The sequence below is a fragment of the Homo sapiens genome, chromosome 1, assembly GCF_000001405.40.
Source record: "Homo sapiens chromosome 1, GRCh38.p14 Primary Assembly".
In the NCBI taxonomy this organism is placed as follows: Eukaryota; Metazoa; Chordata; class Mammalia; order Primates; family Hominidae; genus Homo; species Homo sapiens.
The window spans coordinates 23,626,873-23,641,576 of NC_000001.11; the positions used below are offsets into that span (position 1 = coordinate 23,626,873).

General features: G+C 49.6%; 1 long non-coding RNA gene across 10 annotated transcripts; it reads left to right on the forward strand.

The window, feature by feature from the left end:
• The first annotated feature begins 461 nt into the window (after positions 1-461).
• On the forward strand, positions 462-13,696 carry MDS2 (myelodysplastic syndrome 2 translocation associated). Of its 10 annotated transcripts, NR_167901.1 has the most exons (7): positions 462-665; positions 909-1,126; positions 1,635-1,725; positions 2,609-2,685; positions 12,237-12,379; positions 12,808-12,923; positions 13,517-13,696. It is a non-coding gene; the product is annotated as a myelodysplastic syndrome 2 translocation associated (long non-coding RNA). The 10 variants fall into 10 exon arrangements; NR_167910.1 differs by lacking the exon at positions 12,237-12,379 and having other exon boundaries at positions 13,456-13,696; NR_167909.1 differs by lacking the exon at positions 12,237-12,379.
• The last annotated feature ends 1,008 nt before the right edge of the window (positions 13,697-14,704 follow it).

The following is a 14,704-nucleotide window of genomic DNA, read 5'->3' on the forward strand; positions in this document are numbered from 1 at the left end:
GCTAATTTTTGTATTTTTCACAGAGACGGTGTTTCACCAGGTTGCCCAGGCTGGTCTCGAACTCCCGGCCTCAAGTGATCTGCCCACCTTGGCCTCCCAAAGTGCTGGGATTACGGGCGTGAGCCACTGCACCCAGCCTAATTTACACACATTTAAACACGCGTGTAAAGGGAGGGGAGAGAGAGAGAGAGCACGTTGTGCATGAATCACTGCTACAGAGTCACACTCCAATTCCACTTGGTGAGCACTCACCCCTTGAGAGGGAATGTGACCTGCCAGGTTCCCCCCGCCGGTCCAAGTTCCTGCACTTCCAGCCTCATGTGGGCTCTCATCATGCTGAGTGTGATCCTGCTGTTCAAATGGTTTTTATGTGGTGTGGCCCCAGATACAAGCCAACCATTTCACCTGTGGTGAGCGGAAGGCGCAGCTATCTATAACACCTGAGAAAAAAAGAACCTGCTGTACTAGCTGTCAGCTGCTGGAGACCTTGCTTTCTGTTTCACTGGGAAACAGAAGCAATCAGAAGGAAACTTCCTCAGACTCCACCTCTCCCTTCACTCCCGCCTGTATCCGTGCCTGTTACCTGGACGCCTTGTGGAACTTGAATTCTACGCCCTCCACTGGGACACTGCCCTTCATCCTCTCTCACCTCCTCCAGGACAACAGTGAGCAATTCCTTGCGTCTCTCCCACAGCTCCAGGGGTCCCCCTCTTCTGCTGGCTCATTCACATCACCACACAATCGGCTGCAGTTCTTCCAATTGTACACACACACACACACATGCACAAGCCCATGCACACACACCCCCACACCCACACCGTCATATTTCTTTGCTCCCCCTTCCAGGAAAACATCTCAGTGTTTTCTGAATTGACCATCTTCATCCCTCCTTCCTTTTCTCTCTCCAGCTCTCTCTGTGGGGCTTTCACCCCCATCGCTCCACTGAAACTGCTCTTGTCAAGGTCATCGATGACCTCCCGCTGACAAACTCAACTGTCCCATCTCTACACCCCAAACTGACCCATCAGGAATAGCATGAGCTCCACCTTCCAAAGCTTCCGCAATCTCACCGTCTCCACCGTTACTACCTGTGTCCGAGGCACCACTGTTTCTTGCCTGGAGTTGTGTAAGAGCCTCTCAGTGACGTTCCCTGCTTTCTTTCTTTTTTTTTTTTTTTTTTTTTGAGACGGAGTCTTGCTGTCGCCCAGGCTGGAGTGCCGTGGCGCCATCTCCTCTCACTGCAAGCTCCGCCTCCCGGGTTCACGACATTCTCTTGCCTCAGCCTCCCGCGTAGCTGGGAATACAGGCGCCCGCCACCTCGCCCGGCTAATTTTTTGTATTTTTAGTAGAGACGGGGTTTCACCGTGTTAGCCAGGATGGTCTCGATCTCCTGACCTCGTGATCCGCCCACCTCGGCCTCCCAAAGTGCTGGATTACAGGCGTGAGCCACCGCGCCCGGCCAATTTTTTTTTTTTAGACGGAGTCTCGCTCTGTTGCCCAGGCTGGAGGGCAGCTCGCTCCAAGCTCCGCCTCCTGGGTTCACACCATTCTCCTGCCTCAGCCTCCCGAGTAGCTGGGACTACAGGCGCCCACCACCACGCCTGGCTAATTTTTTTTATTTTTATTTTTAACAGAGACGGGATTTCACCGTGTTAGCCAGGATGGTCTCGATCTCCTGACCTCGTGATCCGCCTGTCTCGACCTCCCAAAGTGCTGGGATTACAGGTGTGAGCCACCGTGCTGGGCATCCCTGCTTTCATCCTAGCACTCCCTGCTGCCTTTATACCCCATAGAATAACCAATGTGATCTTTTCATTTATTCATTTATTATTATTATTATTATTATTATTTTGGAGGCAAAGTCTCGCTCTATCCCCCAGGCTGGAGTACAGTGGTGCAATCTCGGCTCACTGCAACCTTCACCTCCCGGGTTCAAGTGATTCTCATGCCTTAGCCTCCCCAGTAGCTAGGATTACAGGCCCCCACCACCACGCCCGGCTAATTTTTGTGTTTTTAGTAGAGACGGGGTTTCACCATGTTGGCCAGGCTGGTCTCGAACTCCTGACCTCAGATGATCTGCCCACCTCGGCCTCCCAAAGTGCTGGGATTACAAGCATGAGCCACCGCACCCAGCCAATGTGATCTTTTTAAAACATGAGTCAAATTACTTCCTTCCTCTGTTCAAATGCCCCAGTGGCTCCCCTCTCACTCAGAGAAAATCTTAACACCGTTCTGTGGCCTAGAAAGTCCTACCTGAGCTGTGCACACCCCTCCCCACCTTACCTCCTGTTGCTTTTCCCTCCCTTGCCCCAGCCCCACTGGCCTCCTTGCTGTTCTTCGAGCAGCCAAGCACAATCACGCCTCCCGGTCTTCGCCCTTGTATTCCCTCTGCCTAGAGAAGGTAACTGCCCCTGCCCATTTATCCATGACAGGGCTCACTTCCGCTCATCACTAGGCAAGTTTCTCTGGCCATCCTGTTATACATACAATAGCACCCTAATCCTCTCTCACCTCTCCCACTGTCTAGCCCTCTCTCCTGCTTGTCGTTTCTTCATGGCATTCATCACTGTAGAACTGACCTTTGTTTACTGTATGTCTCTCCCACTAGAATGTTGTAGTCCTCATCATCAGCAGAGACTTTGTGCCATCCTCTGCTATATTATCCTGAAGAGTGCCTGGCTCATGGTAGGTGTTGAATCAATATACGTTAAGTAGATGAAAGCGTTTGCATAACTGGGAAGCTATTTGTTGGTGTCCACTGCACTCCAGCCTGAGTAACACAGTGAGACCCTGTCTTAAAATAATAATAATAATAATAATAATAATAATAATAATAATAATAATAATAATATTGGTGAGGGCTGGGTGCGATGGCTGATGCCTATAATCCCAGTACTTTGGGAGGCTGAGGTGGGTGGATTGCTGGAACACAGGACTTCAAAACCAACCTGGGCAACATGGTGAGACCCTGGCTCTACAAAAAAATTTTAAAAAGTAGCCCTGCATGGTGGCACGTGCCTGTGGTCCCAGCTATGCAGGTGGCTGAAGTGGGAGGATGGCTTGAGCTCAGGAGGTCAAGGCTACAGTGAACCGTGATCATGCCACTGCACTCTAGCCTGGCAGTCTGAGGGAGACTGTTTCTATATTGCTGAGGATGTGGGTAGCTGGAGAGTCTCAGGCATTATCAGTGAAAGTGTGAATTGCTATTACCCTAGTGTGAGGCAAGTCCTTTGACTCCTGAATCCTCAGTCTAGGAATTTACCCTCAGGTAATTCTTACCCAATGTCAAAAAGATGCAGGGATGTTCACGGAACTTTTTTTATAGTAGTGAAAAATTGGAAATGACATCAATGTCCAACCATACAAGGGTTGGTTGTTAAAATTATGATAGAGCCATATAATGAATACTAAGGGGCCATCAAAAATGATATTGTGAAAGGATACTTCATGAAACTTGAGAATATGTTTATAATATATTATTAAGTGAACATTTTTTTAAAAACCAGCAGGCCAGGTGTGGCGCCTCATGCCTGTAATCCTAGCACTTTGGGAGGCTGAGGTGGGTGGATCACCTGAAGTCAGGAGTTCAGGACCAGCCTGGCCAACATGGTAAAACCTCGTCTCTACTAAAAATACAAAAATAAGCCAGGCGTGGTGGTGTGCGCCTGTAATCCCAGCTACCCAGGAGGCTGCAGCAGGAGAATCGCTGGAACCTGGGAGGCAGAGGTTGCAGTGAGCTGAGATTGGACTACTGCACTCCAGCCTGGGCAACAGAGCGAGACTCCATCTCAAAGAAAAAAAAAAAATTAAGAGCAATATGTAAAGTGTGATGTCATTCTTGTATACACATATCTGTGTGTGTTCAGACCCAGGAAGCTATTTAGGAAGAGGACACCAACATGTTTAAAATGTGGTGGTTTCCATTGTTGAATTGAGCTGGTGGGAGGTGTAGGGGGGTTCACTGTGTTATTCTTTCAACCTTTCTGTATGTTTAAAAAATCTGGGCCAGGCACAGTGGCTCACGCCTGTCATCCCAGCACTTTGGGAGGCCAAGGCAGGCCTTGGCAGGATCACTTGAGACGGGAGTTTCAGACCAGCCTGGGCAACATGGTGAAACCCCATCTCTACAAAAAAAATATAAAAATTAGCTGGAAATGGTGGTGTGCACCTGTAGTCCCAGACTCAGGAGGCTGAGGTGGGAGGATTGCTTGAGCCCTGGAGATTGAGGCTGCAGTGAGCCCAGATTGTACCATTGCACGCCAGCCTGGGTGACAGAGTGAGGCCCTGTCTCAAAAAAAAAGAAAAAGAAAAATCTAGTCAGGTGTGGTGGCTCATGCCTGTGGTCTCAGCACTTTGGGAGGCTGAGGCAGGAGAACCACTTGAGGCTAAGAGTTTGAGACTGGCCTGGGCAACGTAGTGAGATCCAGCCTCTAAAAAAAAAAATTAGCCAGATGTGGTGGCAAACGCCTGTGGTCCCAGTAGCTCTGGAGGCTGAGGTGAGAGGATTGCTTGAGCCCAGGAGGTCAAGGCTGCAGTGAGCTCTGATTGTGCCATTGCACTCCAGCCTGGGTGACAGAATGAGACCCTGTCAAGAAAGAAAGGAAGAAGGGAAAGGGAAAGGGAAAGAAAGAGAGAGAGAAAGAAAGATCTTACAATAAAAAATTGAAAGACCTATAATCCCAGCACTTTGGGAGGCTGAGGCCGGCGGATCACTTGAGGTCAGGAGTTCGAGACCAGCCTGGCCAACATGGTGAAACCCTGTCTCTACTAAAAATACAAAAATTAGCTGGGCATGATGGCATGTGCCTGTAATCCCAGCTACTTGGGAGGCTGAGGCAGGAGAATCGCTTGAACCCAGGAGGCAGAGGTTACAGTGAGCCAAGATCGCACCACTGCACTCCAGCCTGGGCGACAGAGTGAGACTCCGTCACAAAAAAAAAAAAAAATTTTTTTTGAAAGAAAATATGGTTATTTGGGGGTAGAGGGATTTGGGGAGATAGTTTTTCTTCTTTGCACATCGTGTATTTTATTTACTTTCCTATAATGAGCATCTACCACTTTTACAAAACTAATGAATTGATATCAAAATAAAATACAGCTCTTGTCACACAAAATGTTTAAATTAAAAAAATAAACAATAGTTGTCTTGATAGTTTAAAAAGATAGAAGACAACACAAATACCTGTGAGTAGAGAACTGAGCAAGTAAATTATAGTAGTCATACAAACATTGCACCCCCGTTTAAAAATATGTTATAGAAAAGATATTTACAGTAATTTGGTGAGTGAAAAAACAGGCCATAAAACAGACTGTAGAGTATTAACCCATTTTTGAAAAAAAATGTATATATGTTGCCCACCCATAGAAAAAACTGGAAATATCCATGCCAAAATGTTAGCAGTGGTATTCTTTGGAAAATGGAATGACAGGTGTTTTCCCTCCCTTCCTTTTGCTTATTTATATGTCATAAATCAGTTTTATCCAGTAGAACTTTCTGGGATGATGGAAATGTTCTCTATCTGCCTTGTTCAATATTATCATAGCCATTAGCCACATACAGAATACTTCACATATGGCTAGTTGGCCAGGCCCTGTGGCTCATGCCTGTAATCCCAGCACTTTGGGAGGTCCAGGTGGGCAGATCACTTGAGCCCAGGGGTTTGAGACCAGCCAGGGCAACATAGCAAAACCCTATCTCTATAAAAAAATACAAAAATTAGCTGGGTGTGGTGGTGTGTGACTGTAGTCCCAGCTACTTGGGAGGCGGAGGTGGGAGGATTGCCTGAGCCCAGGAGGTTGAGGCTGCAGTGAGCCATGATTGCACCACTGCACTCCAGCCTGGGCAACAGAGCAAGACCCTGCCTCAAAATAAAATAAATAAATGTGGCTAGTGAGACTGAAAAATGAAATTTTTATTGTATTTAATTCTAATTAATTTAAACTTAAGTGGCCACATGTGGCTAGTGGTTACTGCATTGGACAGCATAGTTCTCAAATGTTTACGAAGAACACACATATTGGCTTTGCAAAGAGGGAAAAGAGAGCTTTTCTTCCTTTTTTTTCCCTTGTGTGTTTATTTGTTCTGCCCTGGCTTCTTGAAGAGCTCCTCTGAAATCCCAGGGAGAGGCAGTGAATGCAAGGGCTTTGCAAACTGTTAAGTGCTGTACTCAGGAGATGCTGCTGTATGAGACTCTTTTTCCCCTTGCCTGGAACCCTTTTTCTCCTCTCCTCATGGGCTCCCAGCTAAGGTAGAGCCCTGACCAGAGAAAGCATCTTTGGGTGGTCTCTCAAGGGGGAACAGGGTATCCTGGGGTCTGGCCCCTGCAGCTAAGGCCCTCTCCTGAAAAGACTTTCCAGAAGGCATTCATTCACTCATGTATTCATTCAACAACCATTACTAACCATTCTCCTTCTCACCAGTCACTGCACTAGGCCCTGGGTACAGTGGCGTGGCTTAAAATCTAGGCTTTGGGAGGTATGGAGTGGTAACTGACAGGGCTGGGACACAGAAGGCCAGCTCAGCCACCCGTGGGCATGCCCCTTAATTTTCCTAAACCTCTATTTTTCTCTTCTGTAAAAGCAGGAAAATAGTGACACTGTCTTGCCAATCCCCTAGGGTCAATCAGGGCTGAGAAAGTTAATTACAGAGGCCTGCAGAGATATTCGTGATCAAAGAATATGCCTTCCTGGGAGAATAAGCGGGTAGTGACAGCCAGCTCCAATGCCCATGTAGATATTATTATTAATAATATTTTATCAGCCAGGCGCGGTGGCTCACGCCTGTAATCCCAGCACTTTGAGAGGCCGAGGCAGGCAGATTACGAGGTCAGGAGATCGAGACCATCCTGGCTAACAGAGTGAAACCTCATCTCTACTAAAAATACAAAAAATTAGCCAGGCGTGGTGGCAGGCGCCAGTGGTCCCAGCTACTCGAGAGGCTGAGGAAGGAGAATGGCGTGATCCCAGGAGGCGGAGCTTGCAATGAGCCAAAATCGAGCCACTGCACTCCAGCCTGGGCGACAGAGCAAGACTCCGTCTCAAAAAAAAAAAAAAAAAAAAAATTAGCCGGGCGTGGTGGCACACGCCTGTAGTCCCAGCTACTTGAGAGGCTGAGAATTGCTTCAACTTGAGAAGTGGAGGTTGCAGTGAGCCAAGATTGCACCACTGCACTCCAGCCTGGGTGACAGAGCAAGACTCCGTCTCAAAAATAAATAAATAAAATAATAATAATAATATTTTATCACAACACATCACAGTTTCTTTAAGAGTAGTTAAAATATCAACCTTAAGGAAACCAGGAAAAGGGTGTTATCATTCATCCATACAGCATTTGTTGATTCCCACTGAAGTTCCAGGCCAAGGTGGGGTAGGGGATCAGTCTGGGAATGGGGACCTGACATGCGAGAAAGACACATAAGGAAATATTCCCTTTTTATTCATTCACTCCTCTGGCATATGCCAACCCTCTGGGGACATAATGAAAGACATCCACAGCCTTGCTCTCAGGAAGCTTTTAAAGGAAGTGGGGAGGCAGATATTCCTCAAATAGCCATTCAACTGCATATTATAAACGGTGATAAGGGTTAAGGAGAGGAAGTACAGAGTGCTATGAAGACATCATGGGGGACCTTGATGTACTTGGTGGTGGGAGGGTCAGAGATGGCATCTCTGGGGAGGTCAGCATCTAAAGGAGTTGAATAAGGACTGATAGGGTGGGGAAAGAGGGTCCAGGAGGCAGAAACAGCATGTGCCAAGGCCCTGAGCTGGGAGAGGGCAGGGTGCTTGTGAGGCCAGTGTGGCTGGAACCCAGCTGGCAAAGGAAGGGGTGCGTTATGCAGCTGAGGCTCTAGTGGACCATACTTAGGAGCCAGTGAAGGCTTCAGGGAAGGACAGTGAGGACAGCTGTCCATTCTGGATGGAACACTGGAGGGGCAGAGTGGGCGAGGCATGGGCACAATGGCAGCTGGTGCCAGGGAGGCAGCAATGGGGTGGAGAGAAGGGGAGAGTGGGTGCGTAATGAGCGCGATGGCAGCCTGTGTCAGGGAGACAGCAGGGGGTTGAGAGAAGGGGAGAAATTTGAGGGCTGCTTGGGAGGTAAGTGGGGCAAGACGTGGGGTTGGATTGGCCCTGGGAGAGGTGGCACGAGAGGTCCCAGTGGGTAAGCTCTGTGACCCAGGAAGGGCTGGCTAAATCTGACCTGGGGAAGGCCTCCCAGATGGAGCACATCTCCCCGGTATCGTGAAATAGGTTGCAGCACCCCTAGTGGAGAAAAAGGGGAAAGACAGTCTATCCCTGGCGAGCAGAAATTCAGCTGGGAGTTGTCAGTGAAACGAAACTAACATTGAGTATGGACCGTGTACCAAGCCCTTTCTAAGTGCTTTACCTTCATCACCTCATTTAATCCTCCCAACAACTCTACAAGGTCGATGCTATTATCACTCTCATTTTACAGATGAGGAAGCTGAGGCTCAGAGAGGTGCTGCCACTGGGATGCGGACTCCAGGAAGCCTGACCCCGTCCTGCCTTTTAATCACGGCATCATACTGCTCTTGTGGTTTGGGATGATTAGAACCTGAGAGAGTTGGAGAGGGGAAGGAGCGGGTTGAGTCTGAGCCTAAGAAATGGGCTGGGACCAAATCCCGGGGGGCTGCTGGTGTTAGACTTGGGGGTGTTGACATCATTGCAGATGAGTGGGTAGCACATTCTTAGGGAGAGGGTGGTGGGATCACGTGTGCTTTTCTGAGAAGTCACTCTGGGATGGGGCAGAGAAGAAGTAAAAAAAAAAAAAAAAAACAGAAAAAAAAACAGAGGAGAGACAGTGAGGCAGGGCATGGGTGAGTACAAGGCCAGGGCAGCAGGGCTCTGGGAAGGGTGAACACCAGGCAGACAGTTCCAAGGTAGATCTAACAGGTGACTAGGTGGTGGGAGGTGAGGGGTGAACAATCAAATGTGGGTAAAGGGTCACGTTGGTTTTATTCATTCACTCAGCAAACTTTTTTTTTTTTTTTTTTTTTAGATGGAGTCTTGCTCCGTGGCCCAGGCTGGAGAGCAGTGGCGCCATCTCAGCTCGCTGCAACCTCCACCTCCCGGGTTCAAGCGATTCTCCTGCCTCAGCCTCCCAAGTAGCTGGGATTACAGGCACGCGCCACCATGCCCGGCTAATTTTTGTTATTTTTTCATAGAGATGGGTTTTCACCATGTTGGCCAGGCTGGTCTCGAACACCTGACCTCAAGTGATCTGCCCACCTCAGCCTCCCAAAGTGTTGAGATTACAGGTGTGAGCCATGTGCCTAGCCCACTTAGCAAACCTTTATTGAGCACCTACTATGTGCCAGGTCTCGAACAAAGTGCTAAGAACATAGAGAAAAAGGATGGGATTGCTGGCCAAGAAGGGACATGGGAGAGGAGAAGGGAAGGGAAGACAGTGATGGATCCGGCTGGGGATGTACTGAGTTGGCGGGGCAGGGGACAGCCAAGGGGCAACAGCCAAGGGGCAGCTGAACACATGGTCTGAGACTCAGGAAAGAGGTAGAATTTGAGATGCAGGATTTTAAAAATCAAATCTCGAGCACAACTTGGTAAACTTACTGAAAATCATTGACTTGTACCCTTAAAGTGAGTGAATTGTATGATCTATAAGTAATACCTGGATAAAGTTTTCAAAATACAATTAGGGAAAAACCCAAGAAGTCTCAAAGTTCCTAGGAAATCATGAAACAAGGAGGAAGAGAACATTCCAGTCAGAGGGCAGAGGGTGTGAGTGAAACCTGGAGGCCTGGCTGGAGTGGGCACGAGGTGTGGCTGAAACCAGGGGTGCTTAGCGGGGATAGACGGAGCTGCAGCCTCGCCCTTGAGTGGGTTGTACCAGTCATGTCACTGAGCACTGACGCTGCGCTCTGCATCCTGGAGAAAATCAATCTTCCAACAACCCCAGAAGAAGGGATGCCAGATGAGGAAACTGAGGTTCAGAGAGGTTAAGTAGCTTACCCAGTCACATTGCTATTAAGGAGGTATATATATATATATATATTTATATGGAGACGGAGTCTTGCTCTGTCGCCCAGGCTGGAGTGCAGTGGCTGGATCTCAGTTCACTGCAAGCTCCTCCTCCCAGATTCACGCCATTCTCCTGCCTCAGCCTTGCGAGTAGCTGGGACTACAGGCGCCCACCACCACGCCCGGCTAATTTTTTGTATTTTTAGTAGAGACGGGGTTTCACCTGTTAGCTAGGATGGTCTTGATCTCCTGACCTTGTGATCCACCGGCCTTGGCCTCCCAAAGTGCTGGGATTACAGGCGTGAGCCACCGCACCTGGCTTTTTTTTTTTTTTTTTTTTTTTTGGAGTCTCGCTTTGTCACCCAGGCTGGAGTGCAGTGGCACAATCTCGGCTCACTGCAACCTCTGCTTCCCGGGTTCAAGCAATTCTCGTGCCTCAGCCTCCTGAGTAGCTGAGATTACAGGTGCCCGCCACCAGGCCGGGCTAATTTTTGTATTTTTAGTAGAGATAGGGCTTCAGCCTGTTGGCCGGGCTGGTCTTGAACTCCTGACCTCATGACCCACCCACCTCGGCCTCCCAAAGTGCTGGGATTACAGGCATGAGCCACCGCGCGCAGCTTAAGGGGGTAGAATCTGAGATCCATCAGCTCTAGAGTTTGGGATCTTGAGTAACAGTTTCGCCACGTTTAACAAATGTCCGGGGCCTGGAACGGAGACACTGGCGCTTCTATCGCGCCATCTGCTGGCCAAAACGTAGAGCTCAACTGGCGACGGAAAGGCGTTGGTTCCCAGGCTTGACAGGATTCCCTTCTGCCCTCTTCTCAACTGTTTCTCCCAACAGCCCTGAGTGGGTGGTAGGCAGGAATTGTCCAGCCTCATCTTACCAATGAGGAGACCAAGGCTTGGAGAGAAGAGGCGACTTCTCAAAGATGATCCAGAGGAGTAAAGGAGGCCCCGGGATTCAAACCCCCCTCCGTGAGGTGCTCTCCACCTCCCGCTGTCCTCAGTGTGGACTTAGATCCCAGAGCATCTTCACCCCTCTGAGGGGGTGAGGCCAGTCCCCTCCCTGGCTGGCTTGCAGACAGCGACCCAGGTTCAGGTAGCGGCCTAACCCACCCAGCTCTGTCTCTGTGGGGGTGGTTTGACCTGATGCAGGTTTGAGCCTGTATCAGGCTCTGTGGGGGGTTAGGGCAGGGTTCTCAAGGCTGAGCAGAAAGCTTCCACCCCACCCCTCCACTGGGGACTCCAAGCAGGTGACATTTCTGTTTGGGGAGCTGGCTGCCCCTTCCCTGTCCCCAGCCCTTCAGGAATTCTGGGTCTCAGGCTCTGGAAGGAGGGAGAGGAGAGAGAGAGGAGGCCCAGGCAGAAGTGGGGAGACAGTAGGCTGGGAGAAGGAGGGGCATGGGGGTGGGGCCAGAGCAAGGCCACAGCGAATGATAGTGACAGCAACCGTGCTAAGAAGAGCTGCCACTGTGGAGGGACAGGCGCTGCAAAGGTGCTTTACGGGAATTATGAGCCTTAACCTTCTCTGTGGCCCTGAGAGGCAGGGAGGATCATGACCCTCACTGACAGTGGAGGAGCAGTATCCAGGAGCTTGAGTAATGTGCCCAGGGTCACATGGCCAGTGAATATGAAGCCAGAATCACAACCCAGGGAGTTGTGACTCCCAGAAGGAGGGGACTGATGGGAAGCAGAGTGAAGGAGCAAAGGACTGATGGGGTGGCCATCAGGCTGGGAGTGGGGGACAAAGACGTCCAGCTGCCTGGCCGTCCCATGGCTGTCATCGTGTGTACGAGTGTGTATGTGTGCCAGGGAGAGAGAGTGTCTGAGAGTCTCGGTTGTCAAATCTTGGTGACATCCTGGTGGCATGGGTTGTCTGACTGTGGCTGAGCAATCTGGGTTGTTGAGGGGCCAGGAAGGCTTCTTCTCTCCCTCAAGAAGTCTGGGTCAACTTTGAGTCATCCTTCTGAGCACATCTTAAAAGTCACCTCTCCTGGGAAGCCCTCCTGGATTGCTAAAATGGGGTCGAATTCCCATGTTACACACTTGCAATGCTTCTCCTGCCAAGTAGTCATCATATGTATAAGTGGTTAAATATTTGTATTTACTCGGTAGAAGCCCTGTGTTCTGACCCAGTTGGAGCTGGTAGTGGGCAGGTGCCAGGAATTTAGATAAAACCAGATGTGCGGGGGCAGGTTGCAGAGGGAAACCCTGGCTCTGAACATTCATTGTTTCCTGAGCTCCAGGCTGCGGATTTTATTGAGAGAACGGAGACTGCTGGTGAACTCTCAAGAGGGTTAATTGGAGTTTTATCAAGCCAGATTTCATGGTGTCTGCTTAATGTTAATCTCTCCAAGCTTCCCACCAGACTGCAAAGGCTGAGGTGACTGCCTTGACTCTACTATGTCCCTAGAACTTAAAGCCCCGTGGGTGGTTCTTGCACTTGACAAACACATATTAAAGGAAAGAACGAATCGATGAAGCATGGGTTTGGGTGCCGGGCTGGGGAAACCAGGTTTGTGAGTGAGGGGATGAGGTGACAGGACCCAAGCAGGGCTGGCATGGGTGGCAGCGGAGAACCACAAGACCACGTGTGGTCACCTATGTGATGATGCCTCCTGGAGTTGTTCAGAGCAGTGCACAGCCTGTGGTAGGGGGCTGGCTTCCCTTAAACGCTGTTTGGGGAAGTACAGCCTGACAGTAGGTTTTCAGGAACTGGGAGGACCAGAAGGTGCCCTGATTCCCTTCCTCCCTGATCTCCCCTGGCACCAGCTCCTTGCTCAGCCTCCTCGCTTCTCTAATTTCTTGCAGCTGCAGTGTTCTGAATAGCAGTCCAGCTATGAGGGGAGGTGCCCGTGGCAGGCCTCAGCTGACCCTGGAGAGGCCATTAAGACCTGGCTGTCGCCTCCACAGCTGCTCGGAGGCAGGTGAGTCTGGTTCTCTGAGTCTCCCTCCTAGAGGTGGGCACTGAAGTCAGGCCCAGCGGATGGGAAGGAAAGAGGCCAGGGCTGGAGAAGCAGCCAGCGTTTCCCACTTCCTCCCCAACTGCCACTCCAGGTGGTGGCCCAGGTGACTGGGTCTCTTTGTCCTCCTCCCTCCCAGACACACTCTTGCCCTGGGTTTTCAGGAAAGTGGGGAGGCTAAGCAGCTCATCCCAGGCAGTTGGGCAAACCATCCCACCAGGTACCTGGCCAGATGCTGTCCCAGACACCTCCCTCCAGGCTGTCATCCTCCACATCACTGGGACTAGTAGTAAGGGAAATAGAAAGCTCCCCAACGCCCTCCACCTGCACCCCAGGCCTGATCCTGAGGCATGGCTGGCTCAGAGACAGTGACAGTGGGGTCAAAGGGTATGAGACAGATTCTCCATCTACCAGGAACAGGCAAGTGAGCCTCAGCCTCCTCGTCTGGAATGAGGGACAATAGTACCTATTTCACAGTAAAGTTTCTGGAACATAGGTGTTCAATAAATGACAGACGCTACCATCACAGATTACCAATGTTACAAAACTGTAAACAGAGAAAGGTGGCTTTGTAAGAAGAAAAGAGATCATTCTTTTTCCACCATGTGAGGACCCAGCAAGAGGGTGGCTGTCTGCAAACCCAGGGAGAGAGCCCTCACCAGGAATCTGCTGGCACCTTAATCTTGGACTTCCCAGCCTCCACAACTGTGAGGAATAAATGTATGTTGTTTAAGCCACCCAGTTTGTGGTATTTTGTTATAGCAGTCCTAGCTGACTAAAAAATACTGTCTCCTATAACCCATGAGTTTTGTTTCAAAGCACTTAACACAATCTATAGTTATACATCTACCTATGCAATTTATCTTTTTAAATTTTATTTTGTTTTATTATTTTTGGGGGATGGAGTCTCACTCAGTCACCCAGGCTGGAGTGCAGTGGCATGATCTCGGCTCACTGCAACTTTCGCCTCCTGAGTTCAAGCAATTCTCCTGTCTCAGCCTCTGAGTAGCTGGGATTATAGGTGTGTACCACCACGCCTGGCTAATTTTTGTATTTTTATTAGAGACGGGGTTTCACCATGTTGGCCAGGTTGCTCTCAAACTCCTAACCTCAAGTGATCCAGCTGCCTTGGCCTCCCAAAGTCCTGGGATTACAGGCATGAGCCACCGCACCTGGCCTGTGCAATTTATCTTTTTAAGTTTTTCCTGAAGTATAACAAACACAAAAACACACAAATCCTGTGTACAGCTCAATATACCTTCACAAAATGAACCCATCTGCATAACCTGCCTCTAGGTCAAGAAGTGAACATAACCAGCTCCCCAGAAGCCTCCTTGTGACGCCTCCTCATCGCTACCTCTCCCTGGAGGTAGCTATCATATAATTATTCATTTAGTTATCAATGTGGGTGTCATGTGTGTCCTCTATGGATTATTTTCTTAGGGCTGCTGTAACAAATTACTACAGCCTTGGTAGCTGAAAGCAACAGAAACTTATTCTCATGGTTCTTCCAGAAGTCTGAAATCAAGGTGGGCTGGGCGCGGTGGCTTATACCTATAATCCCAGCACTTTGGGAGGCTGAGGTGGGAGGATTGCTTGAGCCCAGGAGTTTGAGACCAGCCTGGGCAACATGGTGAAACACCATCTCTACGAAAAAATACAAAAAATAGCCAGCCTGTAGTCCCAACTACTTGGGGGGCTGAGGCAGGAGGATTGCTTGAGTCCGGGAGGTGGAGGTTGCAATG